Genomic DNA, 25,326 nt, shown 5'->3' with positions numbered 1-25,326 from the left:
TGTGGTCCCAGCTGCTCAGGAGGCTGAGGCCAGAGGATGGCTTAAGCCTAGAAGTTCAAGGCAGCAGTGAGCTATGATCACACCACTGTATTCTAGCATAGATAACAGAGTGAGACCTCGTCTCTTAAAAAAAAAAAGTAATGGCAGTAATGGCTAGGCACAGTGACTCACACCTATAATCCTAGCATTTTGGGAGACTGAGACTTGTTAATTGCTTGAGCTCAGGAGTTCGAGACCAGCCTGGGCAACATGGCAAAACCCAGTCTCCCCCAAAAATACAAAAATCATCTGGGCGTGGTGGAGAGCACCTGTGGTCCCACCTAGTTGAGAAGCTGAGGTGGGAGGATCGCTGGAGTGTGAGAAGTTGAGGCTGCAGTGAGCCATGACTGGGACACTGCACTCCAGCCTGGGTGACAGAGTGAGACCCTGTCAGAAAGAAAGAAAGAGAGAGAGAGAGAGAAAGGGAGAAAGGAAGGGAAAGGAAGGAGAGAGAGAGAGAGAAAGAAAGAAACGGAAAGGAAGGGCAGGGCAGGGCAGGGAGGGAGGGCAGGGCAGGGCAGGGCAAAAGAAAGGAAGGAAGGAAGAAGAAAGAAAAAGAAAGAAGGAAGGAAGGAAGGAAAGAAAGAAAGGCGGGCACGGTGGCTCACGCCTGTAATTCCAGCACTTTGGGAGGCTGAGACGGGTGGATCACCTGAGGTCAGGAGTTCGAGACCAACCTGGCCAACATGGTGAAACCCTGTCTCTACTAAAAATACAAAAATTAGCGGGGCGTGGTGATGTGCACCTGTATTCCCAGCTACTCAGGAGGCTGAGGCAGGAGAATCGCTCAAACCTGGAAGGCAGAGGTTGCAGTGAGCCAAGATTGCACCACTGCACTCTAGCCTGGGTGACAGAACAAGACTCCTTCTCAAAAACAAACAAACAAAAAAGATAAGTGAATAAAAAGTAATGCCAGTTGAAGCTGTGTTTAATAGAGATATTTTGAAACCTCACACCTGGAGTTCTGTATTTTGTTCTTTATTTTATTTTATTTTATTTTATTTTTAGAGACAGGGTCTTGCTCTTGTTACCAGGCTGCAGTACAGTGGCTTGATCATAGTGGACTGTAACCTCTAACTCCAAGGCTCAGGCAATCCTCCCGCCTCAGCCTCCCAAGTAGCTGGGACCACAGACCTGCACCACCATGCCCAGCTAATTTCTTTGTGGTTGTTTTTTTTGTTTTGTTTTGTTTTTTAAGAAACAGAGTCTTGCTATGTTGCCCAGAATGGTTTTGAACTCCTGGCCTCAAGTGATCCTCCTGCCTCGACCTCCCAAACTACTGGGACTACAGGCATGAGCCACTGTGCCCAGCCCGGTTCTTTTTTGAAAAAGAAAAGTGACAAGCAACTATCATGATGAATTGTTTAGAAGCTAGAAAGGTCAAAGGAACTAATGTTTGTCAGCAGAAAGATTGTAAAGTCAGAACTCTTTCCAGATGCAAAAAAAACTGAAGCCACTTTATGCTGCCCAAAGTGAAAAGGAGAGTCATTCTAAATATATTGGGGTTCCTTATGGAAAGCAGGAATACAGTTAGTCTTGGGAAGGACCAGAAACAACCTAGACAATGAGTGGTCTGTGGTCACTAATTGCCTGTGAGGAAGACATTGTTTTTCATGCTGACAGATGGGGAAGACTGAGGCACAAAGCATACAGGTACATAGCCTGAAGTGTCGACATGAAAATTCAAAGCCAGGGCTTTCTGTTCTGAAGCCAGCTCCCTCACCACCTTTATCCGGCTTCTTGGTGCCCACGATTCTATTCTACCAAACCTATTTCAAAGGACTCTACCAGCACAAAGTACAATCCTGAGGAACAGGAGCCTCCACGGGAGAGTGCCGCTGACTGAGCCCCCCTGCACCATGTGGGGAGCCCAGCGCTCGCGCACTGCTGACAGGCAGCCTGGGATTTGAGGATGAGCGTGACTTGCCCCAGCTCACCCAGCTAAGAGACAGTGAACTCACAAGCCAAACCAAGGCCGTTCCCCCTCCACACCAGGTCATCTCGCTCATCACTGCCTCCCCATTACAGAGCAAATTGTATTTGTTTGCATGGAATGGGGACATCCAATGTGCCGTGTCCAACGTGCCCCTTACTGTGGTGGGGGCATTACTGCTGCTGTCTGCCTCTTACAGCAGCTTTATAAGGGAGCTGTTCCTTCGCCATTTTATGTATGAAAAACTGAGACTCAAAGTGGGGCCTGAGAAGCGTGCCAGAAGCCTCAAGCATCGGGAGCCAAGTTGGGGGCTGCTTCCGAGGCCACAGTGCATGCGTTTCCCACACACTTTGGGGAGTAACAGCTTTTAGGAAGCATACAGTGGTGTCATGGCCACTTATGGATGGACACCCTAGTGTACAGATTTTGATTTTTGCTGGGATACCTCAGAAAAATGGGGAAATTGTCCAGAACTTGAAAAAGATTTTACATGATTTTTCAAATGCTCTGAAAATCTCAGAGGTATTGAAGTGGTTTTTAGAGCATTCGAAGCGACACTAAAGAGGAGGGGAACTTCTGCTCAGGCCGGCACCTTTGACAGCTCTTCCTGTGGGATTGGATGGGCCGCAGCCCTGTGGGAACAGCAGGGGTCCTAGGCAACTGACCCGAGCTGGCCCTTTGTTTCTACTCACTGTCCCAGTGTTGTTGTCTTGCTGTCCGAGGGCCATGGTCACATGGCCCCTGACTCCACTGCGAGGGCTGTGGGGTTTTTGTTTTCTGTGGATGAAGACAGGCTGGCACAGGGCAGTGGCCACTCTGCTCTTCAGAGCCAGACATGATTCTGTTCACAAGAGCCACACCAGGCCATGCAGGCCAGGAGAGGCAGCTCTCTTGAGGGCCTTGGAGGCCATCGGGGGCAGAACTGGCTCCATCATTTGTAGGTCCCAGTGCAAAATGAAAATATGGGGTCCATGTTCAAAAATCATTAAGAATTCCAACACAGCAACCACAGAGCATTAGAGTAAGCGTGGGCCCTTCTGAGTGGGGGCCCTTGTGACTGCACAGGCATACACCAGGGAGCCGGCCCTGGCACGGGGAGTTGAGGGGCTTTCCCTCTTCGTTGAAGGAGAGGGGTCTGTCAGTTCCTCTGATCCCCAAGACAGAAGGGGTGCACTTACAGCTGGGACCAGTCTGGTTTTCTTAACCCTGGCCCAAGAAGGCAAACTTTCCATCCCTTCTCTCAGGCTGAACTGTCTCCAAAGCATTGACAGTTGGGCTTTGGCAAGCAGGGGTGCTACTGAGTGTGTGAGTATTTCCCTCTGGACGTGTGTCCCCAAGCCATACATTTCAGAACTTGCCAGTGACTGTGCTGACATCCACTCGTACTCAGTAAGTGTTTATGTACCAAATCCCGTGCTCACTCAAGATGGACAAATGAGGCCACAGATCAGGGGCTCAGAGTCTGGTGGAGGAAATAACATGCAGAGGAGTCAGCCCCGTAGAGGGTGATGAGTGCTGTGGGAAAGCCAGGTGTGGCACTGCAGGAGCCCAAGGAAGAAGGGCCCAGCACTGCAGAGGGAGCTGTTGGAGCTGAGGCTCAGAGCACCAGTAGGAGTTTCCCAGACAGAGAAAGCCGGGGTGGGCTGGTCCCATCAGTGGGCCTCCCATGTGCATATTGGCAAGATGTGTCTGCTAGGGTGTGAAGAGCATCATCCTTTGGCCAGTGGAAAGCAGCTGATGGTGACGGCCATGGAGGCAAGAGGAGTGGGCTGGGGAGGGAGGGGAGAGTGGCTGGCTTGGGCCACAGTGGTGAAATATACCTGCCAACCTAAGGGGTCTGGCCATTCTGGCCATTGTTTGGCAAGTGGGTTCCATTCTTTGGTGGCAGGAGTTGGGAGGGCTATGGGCAAGTCAGGGAATGGTGGTGGGGGTAGACAAGAGTATCAAGCATAGCTGGAGGGTCTGGGGACTCCCCTGGAGAAGAGGGATTAGGAAAAGCAGACACAGTTCAGGTGTCATCAGGGATCTCAGGGTCTGGCCTGTGGACAAGGACACGGCCCGTATGAGGGGCAGCCAGATGGACCTCGCCTCCTCATTATCACAGCTTCCTGCAGAGGTGGAAGAGGTGCAGGCTGTGGTTCTGTGACAACCCTGTGTGCTCTGGGTCAAGACAGATGTCTAGCAAGAAGCAGGAGAGGTGGCAGGGCAGGGGCTGAGGGGCAGGGATGTCCTCAAAGAGAAATACGGCTTAAATCAAACCTTGAAAGCCCCAAATCCAGTGAGATTCTCTTTCCCAGTGATTTCAATTGTTTCCCTAATTTTCCTCCCTTTATCCTACACCAACCATCGGGAGTCAGTTTACTCAGGAACTGGCTTCAACAAATCAGTATGCAAGTGGCTGGCTGTGAGGCTAGCACAGACGCCCAGCACAAAGCAGCCAGTGAACCCCGTCATGGGCTTCCCACAGCACCCCCTCCCCGCTCCCGTCCACTCCTCGGGACTCTGTAGCCTGTGCCCATCCCAGCTCCTTTTTTGTTGAGATCTGAGCAGACTTGGCATCTGCATAGGATAGCCCTGGATTTGGTGGGTTCAGGGTGGGGGCTGGGCAGCCCTTTTGAAAGGGTGCATCAGGCCAGTCAGCTCCACAGGGGAACCAGGAGAATCCCAATGAAGTTCTAATAACAAGACCGAGTGGGAGGGCTGCTGTGTCTGTGACCTTCCTCTGGAATCTCAGAGCGAATGAATGGAAAGTGTCCAGGAACTGGGGAGCCTTCAGTATCAGTTGAAGTTCTCAGGAATCAGGGGAGGGACTCGAAGAGGCCTCATTCCAGCTGCCTTCCAGCCTTTCTGGATTCTTTCCAAATCCAGTAGGGAAAATGGACCCTCTGAAAGGAGGGGTAAGCAAACAGATTTCCTTGCTGGTCCTGAAGTGCTTTTTATAGCACTTCCCGTGCCCAGCAGGAGCTGAGACCCAGTGGCTGAAATAGACAGAACATTCTCTGGTTATCAGGCATCTGGCTACACTCCAGGCTGCACAGGGCCAGACAGATAGCACCTCACTTGGACCGAAGGCTTGGCTGGGGAAGGCCTCAGGACCTGCTTGAAAGCTGGGCCCTCCTTGCTTGCCCAGCTGGGCAGACAGTGCCCAAGTGTTTCTACATGCTGGTGATTGAGTGCCAGAACTTTAGGGGTGCCCTAACCTCCCACTTTCTCCCAGACACATCAGCAAGATTCTGGAGACTTAACTCTCACTTTCATTGCTTTAACCCCAAGGCAGGCAAGTTTCCATGAGACAAGGTTATACTCACAGGTGTGTACTCCCCACAGTCTTTCAATAATTAAATGCCTTTGGCTCTTGGTCCAGGTCATTCCTCTGTAGTTTATTCAGTTTCTGACCCGCAGATGCCTCTGTGGAGCACAAGTCCAGCAAGTTGTAGCCCTAGAAGTACAGGGTTTCAGCTGTAACTTGAAGCAAGCTACAGGTAGCTTCAAGCATGTCACTGTTGTGGGAGCTTCAAGCAAATAGTAATAGGAGATGCAAGCAAGTTTCTCTCTGGGCCTCAGAAGGGAGGGATGGCATCTGCCCCTCAAAGCTCCATTCACCTCTGCATTCTTGATGGCCCCACGGGTGGCTTCGGGCAGGCATAGTCCCCACTCTTATCCTATCTGCAGGCTCAAATCGTTCCCAGCCCACGGCAGAAAGATGTGGAGATGCCTCTGGCCACCACTTTGGGGATCACCATCAAGGGGTCCCTTTAGTAAGCCAGGCTGGCTCTCCCTGCGCACCCCGATGAGGTAGACCTCATTCCCCCGTCTAGGAGGTGGATATGCTAAGGAGAGCGCGGGCCCTGCTCTAGGCCTGGCCCCACTCATCAGCTGTGTGAGCATGACTAAATCCACCAACCCCGCCAACCCTGTTTTCTCTCTGGTAAAATGAGGACACTTCCTTCTAGGGCATTTAAAAGAGATGCTTGTGGAAAAGTCCAGCACAGTGCCTGGTACATAGTAGGCACTTGGCAACTAATAATTATTAGTGTTTTGTTTTGCTTTTTTTTTCTTTTTGAGACAAGATCTCACTCTGTCGTCCAGGCTGGAGTGCAGTGACACGATCACGGCTCACTGCAACCTCCCCCTCCCGGGCTCAAGCCATCCTCCCACCTCAGCCTTCTGAGTAGCTGGGACCACTGGCATGTGCCAAAATGCCCGGCTAATTTTTTGTACTTTTGGTAGAGATGGGGTTTTGCCATGTTGTCCAGGTTGGTCTCGAACTCCTGGCCTCAAGTGATCCTCCCAGTCTGCCCACCTCAGCCTCCCAAAGGGCTGGAATTACAGGTGTGAGCCACTACGCCCATCCTATTCGTGTTATCCTTTAACCAATTTCAGTGTCCAAGTGGATTGAATCTTTACTCACCTTGAGAGACTCCCTGTACCTCGAGACCTTGGAACTTAGCCTTGGAGTTGTTTTTGTCAATCTCTCCCCTTTGTCTCTTCCTACTCTTCCTACCCCACAGAGATGGAAGGTAAGGTGGAGCTAGCCCAAGCTGTCTGCAGCTGGCCTGGTCCCCCGAGTGTCTTCTGATCCTGCTCCCCTAGCTATCCTCAGCTCACCTATCCAGAAGCCTCTCCTGTTGAGCCTCTTGGCTAATGCTGAGTCCTGGGTGTCTGTTGTCAAGTCCTTTGAAACAGCAGTTTGCTGCCACGCAGGACTTTCTGCAGGACTTATAGAGCAGGATCTATCCTCCTGCTCAGTCCCATACCCTCTCCCCTCTCCCCGTGTCCCTAGATGTCACAGCATCTGAGGGGAGGCCTTTTAGAACCAGTAAAAATCTCAAAGTAATAGGGATCTGTATGTTTAGAAACAGATATTTATAATGTTCTCAAAAAATGAACATCGTGGGCCGGGCGCAGTGGCTCACGCCTGTAATCCCAACATTTTGGGAAGCCAAGGCGGGTGGATCACTTCAGGTCAGCAGTTTGAGACCAGCCTGGCCAACACAGTGAAACCCCATCTCCGTCTCTACCAAAACTACAAAAATTAGCCAGGCATGGTGACAGGCACCTGTAATCCCAGCTATTTGAGAGGCTGAGATGGGAAAATCGCTTGCACCTGGGAGGCAGAGGCTGCAGTGAGCCGAGATGGTGCCACTGCACTCCAGCCTGGGTGACAGAGAGACTCTGTCTCAAACAACAACAACAACAACAAAAACATTGTTACCTGAAGATTGTCCAGTAAATCAAGTGAATGATGACATTTTAAAAATTAGCTTTAATGACTGGGCGCAGTAGCTCACACCTGTAATCCCAGCACTTTGGGAGGCCGAAGTGGGCAGATCACGAGGTCAGGAGATGGAGACCATCCTGGCCAACATGGTGAAACCCCATCTCTACTAAAAATACAAAAATTAGCTGCGTGTGGTGGCGCGCACCTGTAATCCCAGCTACTCTGGAGGCTGAGGCAGGAGAATGGCTTGAACCCGGGAGGTGGAGATTGCAGTGAGCTGAGTGCATGCCACCGCACTCCAGCCTGGCAACAGAGCGAGACTCCACCTCAAAAAAAAAAAAAAAAGCTTTATTCTAGCCGAAAGAATAGAATTAAGAATAGTAATAGCTGAAAGTGGTTTTTAACCCATTCTGAGCTTCAGAATGATCTGAGGAGCCTTTTGAAAAATAAAGACATTTGGACCCAGATCCAGTGAGTCTGTTTGTGGGGTGGGCCGGGCCTCTGTCTGTTCAGGGAGTAAGGGAGAACCCACCCCTGAGTAAAACTTTACAACGGCATTTCATCAGGGCACACTGGCCACCTGTCTGTGCGTTTTCATAGAATCCACAGTGACTTGCTCTCAGGGCCCTGATGGGTGATTCAGACCCCACATGGCTCTCCTCAGGGGGGTGAGGAGGAGAGGGTGGGGGAGTCAGGCTCTAGTTCCTGAATCAGACCAAGCCTCATTCTTGCTTTCCTTCCATCCCAGCCCTGTGGGCAGCTGACAGGCATCCCTCCCGCACCATCTGCCACCCATCCAGGCCCACCTTGAGCCTGTTTTCAAGGCAATCTGTGAGAAGCTCCTGAGTGAGAAACACTTCCTTACATATTCTGTTTAAAAAGAAAAGGTCTGTCCATGTGCATGGTGCATTTCATCAGTTGGAGACTCTTCTTTAAGACCTCAGGGGCATGGGGGGATTGTGAAAGATGCAGCTATGACAAGCACTCACAGAGGAGGAATTGGGGCACGGGGGACTCGGGGGTGTCTGGAGAGCAAGCTCTGGAGTCAGCTGAGCCCTTTGCCAGCAGGCACAGAGCCCTCTCTATGGCGGGCCAGGTGGGTGCCCTTCACCCGGCACCCTGTGAGAGTGCCATTGTGCCTGGCACAGAGGCAGCGCCCAGGAAATGTTTTTCCACCAAATGACTTTTTAAGTGAGCAGAGAAGAGGCATCTGCAGCGGGGCTGGGAAGAGGATAGGACAGAAGAGAAAAGAAAGGGAGAATAAGAACTGTGTGAACTCAAGGAAGCCCTATAGCTTTCCGCAGGGGCCCATTTCCTCAGGGTCATGGGGATGCAAAGAGATAATGAATGTTAAAGAATTCACCTGTCAAATGTGAGCTCACCTGTGCATTCTCTTCTCCATGAAGCATGGGAGCTTGCTGGTTCTGAGGTCTCTTCCTACTCCGGCCATCTTGGTGGTTCTACCTGAGTGCGTGGAGAGGGCTGGAGTTCGCAGCTGCTCTTCATCAAGGGCCCTGCCCCTGGGTGAATGGGAGACCCTGGCTTGCCGCAGCCATGATATCCCTTCTCTTCCTTCTGCCCAGGCATCTTTTGAAGTATCATTGGAGGCCCGAAGCTGTCCCAGCAGACACACGGAGCATGTGTTTGCCCTGCGGCCGGTGGGATTCCGGGACAGCCTGGAGGTGGGGGTCACCTACAACTGCACGTGCGGCTGCAGCGTGGGGCTGGAACCCAACAGCGCCAGGTGCAACGGGAGCGGGACCTATGTCTGCGGCCTGTGTGAGTGCAGCCCCGGCTACCTGGGCACCAGGTGCGAGTGCCAGGATGGGGAGAACCAGAGCGTGTACCAGAACCTGTGCCGGGAGGCAGAGGGCAAGCCACTGTGCAGCGGGCGTGGGGACTGCAGCTGCAACCAGTGCTCCTGCTTCGAGAGCGAGTTTGGCAAGATCTATGGGCCTTTCTGTGAGTGCGACAACTTCTCCTGTGCCAGGAACAAGGGAGTCCTCTGCTCAGGTAAGTGTCCCCAGCAAGCACTTTAGCTCTGAGCCAGGCCAAGATGCCGTTAGGACACCCTCCCAAAGCCTGCCTTTTACTCAGTGGTGGTAGAAAGTGTCACTACCATGGCTCTCCTTGGAGAAGACAGTGGGCAAGCCTTGCTACCCGTAGGCAGGAGGTGGGGATCTGTGTGCAGAATACGAAAGCAGAAGGTATTGCCATAAATTGTGGACTCTCAGAATTCGAGGGGCCTGCGTGGGTCATCCACCTTACTTCCCAATTCATGCAGGACTGGCCTGCACAGCATTCCTGACAGGTAGAGATGTTCAGCCTCTTCTTGATTGCCTCCTGGGACGGGGAACTCACTGGGGCTGGCAGTGGCCATCTGTCCCTTAGCCAATGAACTCATATCTTATTGCTGCTCCCATAACTCACCACAAACCTGTTGGCTTAAAATAATACACATTTAATCCATTACAGTTCTGGAGGCCAGAAGTCTGAAATGGATCTTATTTGGCTAGAATCAAGGTGCCAGCAGGGCTGCATACCTCCTAGAAGCTCCAGGGGAGAATCTGTGTCCCGGCCTTTTCCAGTTCCTAGAGGCCACCTGTATTCTTTGGCTTGCAGCTCCTTCTTCCATTTTCAAAACCAGCAGAGTAACATCCTCAGATCTCTCTGACTCTGACCTCTGCTTCTGTTGTCAAATCCTTCTCCCTCTCCTACAGACCCTTGTGGTTACAAGGGACCCTCAGTCGAACCCTGGAAAGTCTCCCCATCCCCAGGTCCTCAGCTTACTCACATCTGCACAGTCCCTTTCACCACGTAAGGCCACACAGTCACAGGTTCCAGGGATTAGGATGTGGACATCTCTGGGGGCTCTTATTTTTCCTGCCAGAATTCCTCTTTTTTTTTTTTCTGAGATGGAGTCTCACTCTGTTGCCCAGGCTGGAGTGCAATGGCAGGATCTCGACTCACTGCAACCTCTGCCTCCCAGGTTCAAGCAATTCTCCTGCCTCAGACTCCCGAGTAGCTGGGATTATAGGCGCCCGCCACCACACTCGGCTAATTTTTGTATTTTTAGTAGAGACGGGGTTTCACCATGTTGGCCAGGCTGGTCTTGAACTCGTGATCTCAAGTGATCCATCCACAGCCTCCCAAAGTACTGGGATTATAGACGTGAGCCACTGTGCCCGGCCCAGAATTCCTCTTTATACTGAAGAGAAACTTGTTTCTCAATAACTTCCTCCCAATGGTTAACATTCTAGAGTCCCCCTTCCACGTGACAACCTGTCAAACATCTAAAAGCTGCTTTATGTTTCTCTGTTCTCTCTTCTGATCTAGGCTAGACACCCCAAGTCTCTTCCTTGTCCGAGGGTGCTATCATTTGTGAAGCATGCTTCACATAATCAAGTGCGTTACTTGTCATGCTGGATGATGAGGGCTTGGTCCAGGGTTCAGTGAAGCATGCGTTTCCTGTGATTTGGACATTCTGCTTACATGGATGCACCCTGACAATACATTCACCTTTTTTTATTTTCTTCTTCTTCTTCTCCTTCTCCTCCTCCTTCTCCTCCCTTCTCCCTTCCTCTCTCTCTCTCTTTCTTTCTTGTTTCTTTTTTTTTTTGAGATGAAGTCTCGCTCTGTTGCCTAGGCTGGAGTGCAGTGGCACAATCTCAGCTCACTGCAACCTGTGCCTCCTGGGTTCAAGTGATTCTCCTGTCTCAGCCTCCTGACTGGCTGGGATTACAAGCACCCACCACCACGCCTGGCAAATTTTTTTTTTTTTAAATAGATATGGGGTTTCCCCATGTTGGCCAGGCTGGTCTCGAAGTCCTGACCTCAGGTGATCCACCCACCTCAGCCTCCCAATGTGCTGGGATTACAGGTGTGAGCCACTGCGCCCAGCCCACCTTTTCGTTCTGTTAAACAGTCACAGTATACTCTTGAGCTGGTTTTTAACTTCACTACCAAAAGTTTGAGGCTTTTAATTTATTTTATTTTTTAGAACTGTGGTTCAGAAGGAGAGGTACTTTTTTAGTGTGTTGTGTTGGAGCCCTTAATTTTCTGAATCTAAACACAGGAGTTTACACTGATTCCAGTTAAATGACAAGTTGGCAGTTCCCACTCTGGTATTGCGTTCTGATTAAATGCTTCAAAATTGTATCTCAAAGTTTATCTAACACCATGCCACCTGTAAAGGTAGTAAGTAAAACAGTTTTAGGCAGGGCTGTGGTTTCTTCTACACATCATGTATTCTGTGGTTTCCAGGGCTCCCTCCTTAAGAATGGTCTTCCAATTGGGATGGGTGGATTTGAAAGGAACTAAGGGATCAGCTGGGAAAGAAAGCACAAGGTGCATCTGAAGCAAACCAGGAACGTGCAGATACTCCGTCCTATGGGAGGAGGAATTGTACTGCCACACAGGGTTGCACAGACGTGGGTTAACAAGGGAAGCTTCCTGGAGCGGACCTTGCCGTGACACAAGCGTGAGTACACCCATGGGCGTCGTGGGACCAGCATGTCTAAAACTGGAGTTGCCCTGGAGAGTGCAGGACTTAGCAGTGTCATTGCAGAGTAAAGTAGGTGGAAAAATCAGGATTCAACATGCCAAGCATGCAACAGGGATCAACGCTTTCCTCAGCAGAGTGATGATAGGTTGGTGTTAGCTAGATGGTTCTGTCTGGTTAGTAGAAAAAGTTTGGGCTCCATAGCAGGAGGCCTGGGCCTAAGTCCCATCATACCATATCTGCTAGTGTGACTTGGGCATAGAGTTGTTATGAGGAATAAGAGATGTGTGTGAAGCACCCAGTATTTTGCCTGGCACAAAAGGAAAACACACCCAATGCTGGCTCCTCTATGAGTCAGTGCCACACCCCTCTGGGGGGGCCACACCTGGTTCCCCATGTGCAGGAGGGCCCCGCCTTCCCCCAGACAGTCCCCAGGCTTTGCCTAAAAAATTCCAGGGTGGTGGAATGGAGTTTCCATTCCTCTTAGTAGCCATAATAAAAGCTCTAAGCAGCCTGGCAGGCTTTTTAGCAGTTTTTCTTTTAAAGAGATATTAGCAAACGTGACAGAACCATCCCTCCTTCCCCTTCAGGATCCTGAAATAACCCTCTGGTATGTCTTCACCCTAGAAGCCTGCGTGTGTCCATGCAGCCTGGGAGCAAGGGCGTTTGAGTCAGATGCTGTGTGCACGTTTCATCTCCACAGTTCATCAGGCTGTGACCTTGGTTGTCTTGGACTTTGGCTTTTCCTGTCTCCTAAGATGGGCCAACACCATTTGTTTCTGCATTATTTTGAGAATTGAAGGAGAAGACAGAGATGAAGGCCCTGGCCTGGTACTCGGTAGGGAACAGGACCCAGTGGATGTTAGATGCCTCCTCTGTCTTGCTGAGACTGGGCATTTCTCTGAGTACAGAGCCTGGGAGACAGGGCAAGTGGGAGATGGGGTATGAGAGGCCCTCAGTGGGGAATACTGGTCATTTTGGAAACAGGAATATTCCATAGCTGCGTGAAAATGCAGCTTTTTTTTTGCTTAATCATCAGAACCCACAATCCTAAGTTAATCCTGCATTACAGAATTCTGCCAGACTTCATATCCAAAAACCCCTGGTGCTCTATCTCTTTCTCTTCCCTTCACCCCATACAATCCTGCGGGATCGGGAAATGCTCATGTCATGGGGTAGAGAAACCGGAGGTTTGCCAAGCCCTTGAGGCTCCTAGATCAACGATGCCTAAAGTCACTAACTTCCCTGAGGTTGCAGAATGAATGTCTTTTTTCTTCCCCACTGGAAAAGCCATAGACAACCATTAAAGAAAACTTGAAAAATACAGGGAAGTTGATGGATGTGTGGCCAGTTGGTGCTGTCTGTCTTCTTGGTGACCAGGAGTAATTTGGACCATCTGGGAAACCAGACCTCTTTTCACCCAGGCTGTTTCGTGTGCATCACTTCTGAGGCTGTGTGCTCAGTCAAGACCTTGCCAGAGAGTTGGGGGATTAGCCTTAGGTCGAGAATATTCTGAGCAGTAGTAAGAAATTTAAAAATCATCCATAATTTCATCACTCTTATTTTAAGAGATTAGTTTATTTCCTTCTAAACCTTCCTCTAAGTTAGTGTATGTGTGTTTATAGCTGCATACAATTTTGTATGATGCTTTTTTTCCTATAATATTATATCCTAAGGAGCACTTGAAGTCGAATGACTTTAGTAAATCATTGATGAGAACATTTTGAGTGTCTTTCCATTGCACTCCCAACTAGCCTTCTCCACCTCTTCACTTTAAAAGCAACAACTAGTTGAAACGTGACGCTATCCAAGTCTTTCCGGAGAAAATAGTTTCTGGAGTGAGATCATTGTTGTTTGACAATTTGGGAAGGACTTAAACTGAGTCCAGCTCCAGGCAGGACTTGATAACATGTTCATGCAGTGGCTTCTTTCACAGCGTTATAGCACCAGCCCTTCCTTGTCTCTCAAACCTTACAGCTCAGGAGGGGCTGTGAATGGATGGGTAAGGAATTCCAGTCCCTGGGTCCTTGGCACCTGTGGTCAGCATGGGGCTCCCACTCCAGAATTGCGTGCGGTGGTTTTGAGCTCTTGGGTCACGGCTACATCTGGAGTTGTTGTGGCAGAGAAGCCTGGTTCCCAGCCACCACTCTGCTCTTGAAGGTGCTGACTCAGAGACTCCCAAGCAGCTGACTTCAGCATTCTCTCACAGCTTTACACCCCCTCTTCCCTGCAGCCTGTCTTGGAAGGAAATCGTGTGGTTGTGGTCTGTCTTCAGAGTGGGGTTGAGGGGTGCACTTGAAGAAGTGGCTGAGGCAGAGCCAGGGCCAGAATAGGTAGGGTCACCCCAGAGAAACTCCTTCCACTTCACTGGACTCTCTATCAGTAGGAGGCTTACAGTCCTTGTCCCTGCCAAGACAGGGCTAGGGGCAAAGCGCAAGACATTACAGGTTTGCAATATGTTATCCATCATCAAAATGAGCAGTGAACAAATCCGACTAAGGTCTGGAAGCAATTGAACAACTCTGTTATTACTTTTGTGACACATTGTCATGGGAATGTGTGTGAGCTTGGGGCTCTTGTGTCTCTCTGCGGTTTCTAGAGGCAGCTTGACTTAGAGAATGGTTCTGTCCACAGACTGTTTCTGTGTGTGCGAGGGGAGCTTCCTGGGGCCATCATGAGGATTTCTTTTCTTTTGAGTCTTGTAAAGTATTGACCCATAGAATATGAGAAGCAGGACATGTTCTGTTCAGTTGTTTTTCATGTAATAAAAGATTCTTGCTCAAACTTTGAGTTTCTTTGTTAGTTTCTGTGTCCAAACGGTGCATTTTCTGGGATTTGAGCTACTCCCTTGTGGTACATTGCTGAGGTCAGTTTCAACCCAGATGCTTTCAACCTTCTCTACACTTAAAATGACTGCACTGGAGTACATTGAATCCTTTGCTAATGGTCAGCCTCATTCTTGGATTCCACATAATGAGGAAATTTAAATCAAATAGGATATAGAATTTTGAACACAGCCCTTTTGGTCTCGTGGCTGTAAGATCTCAAAAGCACCTCTGAGTAAGGTCTCATGTATACGTCTCACCTTTATTTTACCCAAAGTTTGAGCAAGAATCTTTTATTACTATGTGGCAGGCAATTAGAAGTCAAGGGGCATCCTCCGTTCTCTCCCAAACAAAAAAAAAAAGAACAAGAAGAAGCATGGTACTAGTAGCATCATTCCTAGCAGGCCAGGGCCAGCATCCAAGCATGGGTTCTGGGTCTGGGCTAACAGTTCCCGGCCGATTTAGCAAAGTTCTGATAACCCTGTCTAGTTAAAGGCAATTCTGTTAACCCTGTCTAGTCAAAGGCAGTTCTGTTAACCATGTCTAGTCAAAGGCGGTTCTGATAACCCTGTCTAGTCAAAGGCGGTTCTGATAACCCTGTCTAGTCAAAGGCGGTTCTGATAACCCTGTCTAGTCAAAGGCGGTTCTGATAACCCTGTCTAGTCAAAGGCGGTTCTGATAACCCTGTCTAGTCAGAGGCGGTTCTGATAACCCTGTCTAGTCAGAGGCGGTTCTGATAACCCTGTCTAGTCAGAGGCGGTTCTGATAACCCTGTCTAGTCAGAGGCGGTTCTGATAACCCTGTCTAGTCAGAGGCGGTTCTGTTAACCCTGTCTAGTCAGAGGCGGTTCTGATAACCCTGTCTAGTCAGAGGCGGTTCTGATAACCCTGTCTAGTCAGAGGCGGTTCTGATAACCCTGTCTAGTCAGAGGCGGTTCTGATAACCCTGTCTAGTCAGAGGCGGTTCTGATAACCCTGTCTAGTCAGAGGCGGTTCTGTTAACCCTGTCTAGTCAGAGGCGGTTCTGATAACCCTGTCTAGTCAGAGGCGGTTCTGATAACCCTGTCTAGTCAGAGGCGGTTCTGATAACCCTGTCTAGTCAGAGGCGGTTCTGATAACCCTGTCTAGTCAGAGGCGGTTCTGATAACCCTGTCTAGTCAGAGGCGGTTCTGATAACCCTGTCTAGTCAGAGGCGGTTCTGATAACCCTGTCTAGTCAGAGGCGGTTCTGATAACCCTGTCTAGTCAGAGGCGGTTCTGATAACCCTGTCTAGTCAGAGGCGGTTCTGATAACCCTGTCTAGTCAGAGGCGGTTCTGATAACCCTGTCTAGTCAGAGGCGGTTCTGATAACCCTGTCTAGTCAGAGGCGGTTCTGATAACCCTGTCTAGTCAGAGGCGGTTCTGATAACCCTGTCTAGTCAGAGGCGGTTCTGATAACCCTGTCTAGTCAGAGGCGGTTCTGATAACCCTGTCTAGTCAGAGGCGGTTCTGATAACCCTGTCTAGTCAGAGGCGGTTCTGATAACCCTGTCTAGTCAGAGGCGGTTCTGATAACCCTGTCTAGTCAGAGGCGGTTCTGATAACCCTGTCTAGTCAGAGGCGGTTCTGATAACCCTGTCTAGTCAGAGGCGGTTCTGATAACCCTGTCTAGTCAGAGGCGGTTCTGATAACCCTGTCTAGTCAGAGGCGGTTCTGTTAACCCTGTCTAGTTAAAGGCAGTTCTGATAACCCTGTCTAGTTAAAGCCACTCCTGAGATTAAGGCCACATCCTAGGCTTCTTGACTCTTGTCAAACAAAACACCTGCCATGGCAACAGTTATCCAGATACAGTTTTAAAAGTGTTTCTCACCATATTTATATTGTTTTCTTTAGTAATGTAATTTTCACACTCAGAATCAGTAGCCTGGCAGCCGTCCTTGGGGCTCAGGTTGCTGCTGTATCTCTGTCATTGCAATTGGCATATTTCACAAATGGCTTGTTACAGTACTGTCTTGAAGGTGACTTCCATGACAGAGGTCTCCAAAAGTACCTTTTGTTTGTTTTACAATAGAGACAGGGTCTCCCTATGTTTCCCAGGCTGGTCTTGAACTCCTGGGCTCAAGGGATCCTCCCACCTCAGCATCCCAAAGTGCTAGGATTACAGGTCTGAGCTAAAAGTACCTTTTGAATGAACCTAGGCTGGACATATTTAATCTCCAGGAAAGGGACCTCTTGGCAGGATCACCACCACTGTGTGCTTCTGGTAGGAGCACCTAGAAATTCTTCGGGTTTTTTCACATACATTAATCTCTGCTCAGTTTGATGTTCACCCAGATGCTTCTAGCAAATACAAGGATGCAAAATATATCTTCCACAGGAAGGACCCCTCTCTCCCAAAGGAAGCCCCCAGGCAGAGCTTCAGAAACCAGTGTAGCAATTTCCCTTACCTGGTATCATAGAAATCCTAAATATGTACATGACAGTGAGGGCCAGGAGAGTCCGGTTCCATTTTGGAACAGGTGGCTCTGAGAACAGAATTTGTTACAGGATTCTTCAGTAACTCATCATAAGGAATGAGACACCTGTGAGTGGTAGTAATACTTCTGCAGGCTACCACGTACAGGGTGGCTAAGGACAATGCATGTTCCTTAGGCAATGATAACACAGGCAGAGCTGCCAGAAACCATGGCAGTAACCAGCACAGAGATGTTTCTCCTTGTCCCCTGCCAGGAATACTGCAAAAGCCTTTAGAGGCCTCCTTATATAATGGAAAGGAAATGGCTCTGGAATTTCCTACCCCAGAAGGGAGTTGTGAGGAACCAACAGGACAGTGTCTATAAAGCTCCTTGCAGGGGCCCTACCACCAGGGGCACTGAGTATATTTTTCTCCCCCGGGGCTGGGTGCAGTGGCTCACACCTGTAACCCTAGCACTTTGGGAGGCCAAGGTGGTGGGTGGATTGCTTGAGCTCAGGAGTTCAAAACCAGCCTGGGTAACATAGCAAGGCCCCGTCTCTACAAAAAATTATCCAGGCATGGTGGCGTGTGCCTGTGGTCCCAGCTACTTGGGAGGCTGAGGTAGGAGGACCACTGGAGCCCAGAAGGTGGAGGTTGCAGTGAGCAGAGATCATGCCACTGCACTCCAGCCTGGGCAACAGAGCAAGACCCTATCTCAAAAAAAAAAAAAAAAGAGCTATCTGTTTCTAGCCACTACTCAAGTTCACTTGAAAAGCAAAAAGGTACCAAATTGTAGGGCTTGTGATCCTATAATGAAATAATACATCTTTTAAACTAGTCACATGAGCCAGCTGGGCTGCTCATCTCTGGAGTCAGCCAGCCTCTTGCAGCTTGTGGTTGGAGAAACCAGAGCTTTGGAAAAACCAGAGCTTAGTAAGTATCTGATCTGAGACAATGCAGCTACAAATATAGAAACAACAATCTCTCATTGAAGGTCATTTTGTGTTAGGCAGGTTGCTGCATTCATCTCATTCAACAAAAGTTCATTGAGCGTTCTTCATAAGCCAAGTGTTGTACTGGCTGCCAGGGATATACAGCTGGAGTTTCAGTCTTGAATTAATTTCTAAATTTTTATTGCCCCTGGAATTTTCCACTTCTTTCTTGAAACTTTCTGGAAATAAGGAATGGGAACATGAATCATCTTATGCTTCTACCTTTACCATTAAGACTTCTTTGAGATCTTGAAAGACAAAAAACAGAGTGTTGGGAAGCATTTTGAGAACCTGCCTTCTCGGTGCTCTGAGCTTAGCTCAGTAAATGGAGCTTTTTCACTGCTTTTGCTTACCGCTCAGATCCTGTGTCCAGAAACATCTTAAGCAACAATTCACCTGTGATTCTGAAAATCTAAGCGTTGGGCCTCCCCTCACCGTCCCACTCCCTCTACTTAGGAAGAGAAGTTTGCCAACAGAACCCCGTGGCGAGGATTCTGTGTGTGCCTTTGAACTTCAGGCCTGGTGCTTAAGGTCACGAGGTTTGGCTTGTGAAGGAAATAATGACATTTAAAAAGCAAAGGAAAGTACTAGGAAGACCTAAGAATGCCAAAGATAAGATCTTAGTCATGTAGGCTTGAGGTGTGCGTGGTATTAGCCTTTTGATATTATAGGATAACATGCTGGAAACTTTTCCATGTTTAAATTTAAAACTGTGAGAGACCTCTGGTGGCTGAAATGGTTATTCTTAAGGATTCTTTTGTTCCATTTCTTAGGGGTTGAGCTGACACTTTGAGTTTGGTCTTGGTTTTAGATACTTCAACATAGTTGGTTATTTACAGGCTTCTGCTGCTCAGTGCCTCTGGTGAGGTGGGGCAGGTCTGGATGGAGCTATGTTGATCTTTGGGGTGAGTGTCTGTCATGCTCAGAACACTGACCTAAGAGCTCCACCCAGATCCAAAAGCTCCCTTGAGTCTGGAAGTTGCTCCAAGTCTGATCTGCTCAAAGGTTTCCTTCCTCTTTCCAGGGCTCCCTCCTGGGCTCTGACTGTTGTTCTCTGACCCAGAGGAGGGAACCTGCTGTCACTCCACCCCATAGCCACCACTCCCAAAGTCTATCAGGTGAGTCCAGATGTCCCTAAGCTAAAGAAATATGCAACCCAGGTTGGTATGTTATTTGACGTCATGAAGTTGGCCTTTAGCAACAGGCAAAACTATAGTAACACAAGGAGAATCTTTTTTTTTTTTTTAAGAGACAGGGTCTTGCCCTGTTGACTAGGCTGGAGTGCAGTGGTACACTCAGTAGCCTACTGCAGCCTCAAACTCCTGGGCTCAAGCAATCCTCCCTTCTCAGCCTTCCAAAGTGTTGGGATTACAGATGTGAGCCACTGCACCCAGCTGAGAATCTGTTTTAATGGCCTTTTCACTATATTGAGATCATTTCCTTGGAAACAAACAGGCTCGTTTGTTAGTGTTTTGCACTCATCATGAGCAAGCCCTAACTGGGAGGATTTTTTTGCATCTCATGCCTTTCCTAGCAGAGCCTGTCACACACGGTGTGTCTACAGTGCATTGCCTGCTTCGACTATTTACATTGGGGAAAATTGAAGCCCAGAATCTGAACTAGGGCTCCTTGTGATTTTTGATTATAGAGTCAGACAGGGAGAACCTTGCACTGCCTTTTGCAGGTAAACAATTAGCTCATTTCTACCTAAATTTACTTTTTTTGGTTAACTTAAGACCCTTCCCACCACCCTGGCACTTAGCCTACATTTTCCAAGTCCTACCTTATAAGCGTTCTTTATCTCTGTCAAAATTTTAGGAAATATTTAGCCCGTTTTCCTAAGTGAGTTTCTCTAGGTTACATAAGGATATGTCAGACACAGTGAACCAGGCCTGGAGGATACACATGGACCAAGCAACTGCCTGAGGTACTCATCGTTTCGTGACTATAATTTGATGAAAGACATAGAGCTCTTCTTAGTATTCAGTGGGTATCTGGCTGTTGTTATTGGTGATGCTGAACCTACAAGTGCACCTTTGTTTTTTTGGGGTTTTTTTTTTTTTTTTGAGATGGAGTCTCGTTCTGTTCCCCAGGCTGGAGTGCAGTGGCACGATCTTGGCTCACTGCAACCTCTGCCTCCCGGGTTCACGCAATTCTCCTGCATCAGCCACCTGAGTAGCTGGGATTACAGGCGCCTGCCACCACACCTGGCTAATTTTTTGTGTATTTTTAGTAGAGACAGAGTTTCACTATGTTGGCCAGACTGGTCTCGAACTCCTGACCTCGTGATCTGCCCACCTTGGCCTCCCAAAGTGCTGGGATTATAGGCGTGAGCCACCGCGCCCGGACACAAGTGCACCTTTGTTAGTCTCTTCTAATTTATAAAACGCCCTTGACGTGAATGATCTCATTTACTTGTTATTACTGTGCCAGGAGATTGGTGTGCTGTCACTCACCCTGCCCTTGTGGGAGGCTACGGCTGAGAAGACTGGCATGTAGGCCACACTCCCCACTGAAATTTTGGGCCAAAAGTCTTGACCCAAACAACGTCTACCTCCCCTAACCCTAGGGGGCTGCTCTTCTGCTGAGCAGCTGCTTCCCTGCCGCCTCATGGCTTGACTGGGGTCCCGGCAGCCAGGCTTCAGTGTGGCCTACACATGGGACATTCCAAACCACCTCCGTCCTTTGAGAAGGCAGCTAGTCTCTGAACAGTGGCCAGCCTGGGGTGGAATATGGGAACTGTTAACCAACCACAACACCATGACAGTTTCCAGTTTGAAAATAGTAACCCTCGCATCCTGTTGCGGTGACCAAGAGGGTGGCGAGTTCACACTTTCCAGATGTGATTGGCATTTCCCCAGAAGTGCCTGCCAGGCGGATTGGGCAGGTTAAGCCAAACCTAAGGTGTTGACCTGAAGTACCTCTGTTTCTTTTGGCTACAGCCTTCTGTTTTTCTTTCTGAATCAGCATTCTCAGGGTCCTAGAAGAGGACTATGGTTGATTTCACTCAGCTGGTTTTAGACTTCTTTGAAACTGGAAAGGTGAATTCATTAAAGAACACAGGATTTGTCCATCTTCCCTCCACTGCCTTAATCTCCCTGTGACATGGCAGCTGGGCATCGGCATTGATTTTGTTTGTTGTTGTTGTTGTTTGAGATAGGGTCTCACTGTCTCTCCTAGACTGGCGTGTGAATCACAGCTCATTGCAGGCTTGAACTCCTGGGCTCAAGCTATCCTCCCACCTCAGCCTTCCAAGTAGCTGGGACTACAGGCATGTGCCACCATGCCTGGCTAATTTTTAATTTTTTCGTAGAGATGGGGTCTCACTGTTTTGCCCAGGCTGGTCTACAACTCAAGGGATCCTCCCACCTCAGCCTCCCAAACTGCTGGGATTACAGGCATAAGCCACTGCACCCAGCTGGCATCAGCATTGAGAAATCAGGTGGCTAAGACCAGAAAGGCAAAGATAGCCTTTGAGACGGTTCTGTTGCTTTTTACAATGGAGTCTTAGATTTCTAGCCAGTACCATCATCTCAGAAAGTTAATGCTGAGGTTTGGAGAACCTTGGCTTAAAGCAATATCACCTTATTTTTTTTTATAGCAGTGGTATTTTGCTACTCAGATACAGAATGCCCCATGTAGTCCAGCCGATGAAGGACAAAGGGTGAGGGGCTTGTCAGGGCATTGCCTGTTGGGAAACACCATCAGCTGACTGATGGGGCTGGTTTGTTAACAATATGCCGCGGACAGAGGAGCAGCTGTCCCTGAGACTAAAGATGTGTCATTGTTTGTATCTCTAAAGAGCTTTTTGCTGGAGAAACCCAAACAATGTGCAAGAAAAGTGGGAGATGCAAGGCTGCGATTTCAGTGTGACCACAACCATGTTCTTCCAGAGAAAAGAGAATTCTTAATTGTCTTTTTCTCATGTTACTCTGAAGTCTCTGGGTTTCTTGGACATTTGTTAAGAATCTGAAATATCTCAAGAATCACATTTAAGTTCTTCAGGTATCAATAATACTTCTGTTCCTTTTCTTATGTCCAGCATTGGATGTCTTCCCCCAGGGTTTGAGGTTTGTCCTGGTGATATTGTCAACCACAACCAAAGGACAGCATGTTCTGAGCATCTTCTACACGCCTGACACCATGCTAGGTGTGGGGCACAGAAACATAAAACAGAGGCTTTGATTGCGTGTGGGTTTGTAGGCTAATGAGATGAGGCAGACCAGCAAACAAACAAGTCCATCAGTGTGCCAAGTGATTCTATACCTACGTCTCTTAACTAAGTCTTCTGGTCAGCTTTTGAACATGCTCAGGTCTGTTTAATCTCTCTCTCTCTCTTTTTTTTTTTTTTTTTTTTTTTGAGACGGAGTCTCGCTCTGTTGCCCAGGGTGGAGTGCAGTGGTGCAATCTTGGCCCATTGCAACCTCCGCCTGCCTGGTTCAAGCAATTATCATGTCTCAGCCTCTGGAGTAGCTGGAATTACAGGCGCCTGCCACCACGCCCGGCTAATTTTTGTATTTTTAGTAGAGATGGGGTTTTATCATGTTGCCCAGGTTTGTCTCGAACTCCTGACCTCAAGTGATCCACCCACCTCAGCCTCCCAGAGTGTTGGGATTACAGGCGTGAGCCACCATGCCCGGCCTGTTTAATCTTAAAATATTAAAAAAGAAAAAAAAGAAAGAAAGGGAAAATAATAGAAAATAAAAACCCTGTCATCAGTCTGCACCACACTCACTGCAAGCTCCCCTTTCCTCCATATTCACAACCACATTTTTTTTTTCTTTTTTTTGAGACGGAGTTTCACTCTTGTCGCCCAAGCTAGAGTGCAATGGCACAATCTCAGCTCACTGCAACCTCCTCCACCTCCTGGGTTCAAGCAATTTTTCTGCCTCAGCCTTCTGAGTAGCTGGGATTACAAGCGTGTGCCACCACACCCAGCTAATTTTTGTATTTTTAGTGGAGACAGGGTTTCACCATGTTGGTCAGGCTGGTCTCAAATTCCTGACCTCAGGTGATTCTCCCGCCTCGGCCTCCCAAAGTGCTGGGATTACAGCCGTGAGCCACCGTGCCCAGCCCACAACCACATCCTTAAAACAGTTGTCTACACTTGCTGCCTTCCTTCACTGACTCCCTCTCAGTCCTTAACTCAGTCTAATTTGGATTCAGTCCTGTGACTCCACTAAAATAGTCTTCCCATGTCCCCAGTGACCTTGTCTTGATAAATCTATGGGCTCTCAGCCCTCATCGTACTTGACTTCTCGGCTGTAGTGGACTCCGTTGGCCATGCCCTCCTTGAAATGCTCTCTTCCCATAGTGGTAAGGAGTATGGGCTTCTGGTCAAACAGATATGGGTGAAATTCCAGCCCTGCCACCTACCTGCTGTGTGGTTTTGGATCAGTTACTTGGCTTCTCTGTGCCTCATTTCTATATCTGTAAAAATTAGAGTAATAATTGTACCACAACATAGGGTTATTATTGGGAGGACTAATGAATGAGATAATCCATGTAAAATGCTTAGAACCATGCCTCGCCTATTGTAAGAATTCCATAAAGTTTTACTATTATTAAGAGATTTTAATGGCTTGTTATCTCAGTGGAATTACAACTTCCCAGAAGGCAGTAAACATTGAAGTACAACATACATTTCTCTATTGCACATTGACTAAGAATATCCCATGTCCTATAAGATAGACAAGGCACTATTCCTCTCCTACTGGTGAGGAACCTGGACCGCTGCCCACAGCCAGCAGGTAGGTGGGTGAGGTTGCACGGCAGCACTGCTCAGAGAGGACTTCCCCAGCAAGTCTGAGGAGTTGCACAGTGGAGGGACAGGGATAGGACCTAGGAGAGCAGGGGAGACGTTCCACCAAAGCTGAGTTCTAGGGGTGGTTTTAAGCAAGGGAGAGCTGTGCTTTCTTTGTGAAAGAAACAGCCCTTAGTTGGCAAGTTCTCCAATGCATAACTCCCCCAGGCATGGTAATGCTGTTTACAAGCGCAGGAAACCCATGGTGAGAACAAAACTTTTCAAGAGCAACTTCTCTCTTGCCCTTGGAGATTTATTTAGTTGCTACTGAGGTGCCTGGACCCAAGCTGAGATCCCTTGTGAGGAAGTTGGGAACACGTCCTGTGCGTTTCAGAAATCTCTGTTCTTTACTTTTTCTACAATCAACACCAGCACATGGAGGGGAGAGGGAAAATAGTGGGATGGGCATATTGCTGTGGGGACCAGGCTTGGAGACACCCTGAGAACACCAGGCAGCACAGGTCAGGTGGGGACACACGAGGGCATGGGAGGACAAGGGGTCTGTTACGTAATCCCAACCTGCTTGTCAGCAGAGCCAGGAATAGCGCTTCTTAGGAGGGATTTCCCCCCAGGAAATCTTCAAAGCCCCAGACAGAGGCCGCAGTCCTTGGAAGCTTATGTATGTGTTTGGCCACAGTGAGCCCATCCCGGGTCTGGCTCTGGTGCTCCAGAGAGGACTGTGGTTGGCCCAGCATGTGAGCGCCAAGCAGGTCTGTCACCGAGCTCTCCCCAGCCACTGCGCATTCCGCACTTTGTAATCTCATCCCAGGCTGCCCTGGCTCGGCAGTGTCACACGGCCCTCAGCCACACAGACACCAGCGAACTGAAGCACACAGCTGCTGACTTGGCTTCCTGCTCTGCCTACGACAGTTGATGGAGAGTTCCAGAAACTGGGCCCAGAGTCTCACACAGAGCTGGCTAGAACACACATGAAATCTGACTTTGGGTGATGATAGGGAAATTACCTCCCATGTGTAAAGGCTTCCAGCCACACTCCCTCTATGTCTTTGAGCCACTTCCTGTTTACATGGCCACCTTTTCGGAGGAGAGGGGAAGAGGGAGGAGGAGGGGACACTGCCGGGGAGAGGGGAGGGTTCCCTGGGGGATGTGAGGAAAGTGGGGAAACACGGGGGGGGGGACACTAAGGCAGAACTGAGATGAGACGATGAGAGGAGGTGAGTGTATGTGCAGGAGACACTGACCGTGGGCATGGGGGTGGGGGACAGGGCCGTGAGAAGAGAGAAGGGGACGGCCCTCCTGTCTCAGGCGCTGAGCCCAGTCCTCCCTCTTCAGCCTTCTGTGAGCCAGAATGGACTCCCGGAGGGGATGGAGCTGTGCTGAGGGAAGCCAAGGAAGCCACAGTGCATTCCAGAGCTAGTGGAAACTATTTTTGAGCCAGCTATGGAGAGATGATTTGTACCCTGAGGGCCTGACGTCTGCCTGGTTATAACACTGAGCTGGGTGAGGATGGGAAGAAGAGAACCCCTCCTCATTTCTGCCCCATCCCAAGCTGGCTCCTTCCTTCCTGCAGCCCCACTGCGGTCCTGCTAGCCCTCTGCGGTCACCCATGGCTGCCTTGG

The 25,326-nt window shown here is 49.1% G+C and overlaps 1 protein-coding gene and 1 long non-coding RNA gene across 11 annotated transcripts in view, besides 3 other annotated features; both read left to right on the top strand.

The window, feature by feature from the left end:
* The window catches only part of ITGB5 (integrin subunit beta 5), a 139,471-nt gene that overhangs the window by 95,825 nt on the left and 18,320 nt on the right, over positions 1 to 25,326 (top strand). For all 10 annotated transcript variants that reach the window (NM_001354766.2, NM_001354764.2, NM_001354765.1 and 7 more), the window contains one exon: positions 8,777 to 9,206. In NM_001354766.2, the coding sequence (NP_001341695.1) occupies positions 8,777 to 9,206 (430 nt within the window). The remainder of the gene's footprint in view (positions 1 to 8,776; positions 9,207 to 25,326) is intronic.
* LOC124909422 (uncharacterized) lies at positions 9,219 to 14,478 on the top strand. Its single transcript, XR_007096043.1, has 2 exons — positions 9,219 to 11,673; positions 12,322 to 14,478. It is a non-coding gene; the product is annotated as an uncharacterized LOC124909422 (long non-coding RNA).
* Positions 13,968 to 14,500: an enhancer, noted in NCBI's record as "H3K27ac hESC enhancer chr3:124509941-124510473 (GRCh37/hg19 assembly coordinates)". NCBI's record gives its function as "activates a minimal SCP1, AML or CMV promoter by ChIP-STARR-seq in primed H9 embryonic stem cells {active_cell/tissue: H9 hESC(primed)}" and the evidence as "EXISTENCE:reporter gene assay evidence [ECO:0000049][PMID:30033119]".
* Positions 20,361 to 20,600: an enhancer, noted in NCBI's record as "active region_20405". NCBI's record gives its function as "activates an Ori minimal core promoter by ATAC-STARR-seq in GM12878 lymphoblastoid cells {active_cell/tissue: GM12878}" and the evidence as "EXISTENCE:reporter gene assay evidence [ECO:0000049][PMID:35858748]".
* Positions 24,438 to 24,497: an enhancer, noted in NCBI's record as "active region_20404". NCBI's record gives its function as "activates an Ori minimal core promoter by ATAC-STARR-seq in GM12878 lymphoblastoid cells {active_cell/tissue: GM12878}" and the evidence as "EXISTENCE:reporter gene assay evidence [ECO:0000049][PMID:35858748]".

This window comes from Homo sapiens, chromosome 3 (genome assembly GCF_000001405.40).
Source record: "Homo sapiens chromosome 3, GRCh38.p14 Primary Assembly".
In the NCBI taxonomy this organism is placed as follows: domain Eukaryota; kingdom Metazoa; phylum Chordata; class Mammalia; order Primates; family Hominidae; genus Homo; species Homo sapiens.
This window is presented reverse-complemented; position numbering and strand designations above follow the sequence as displayed.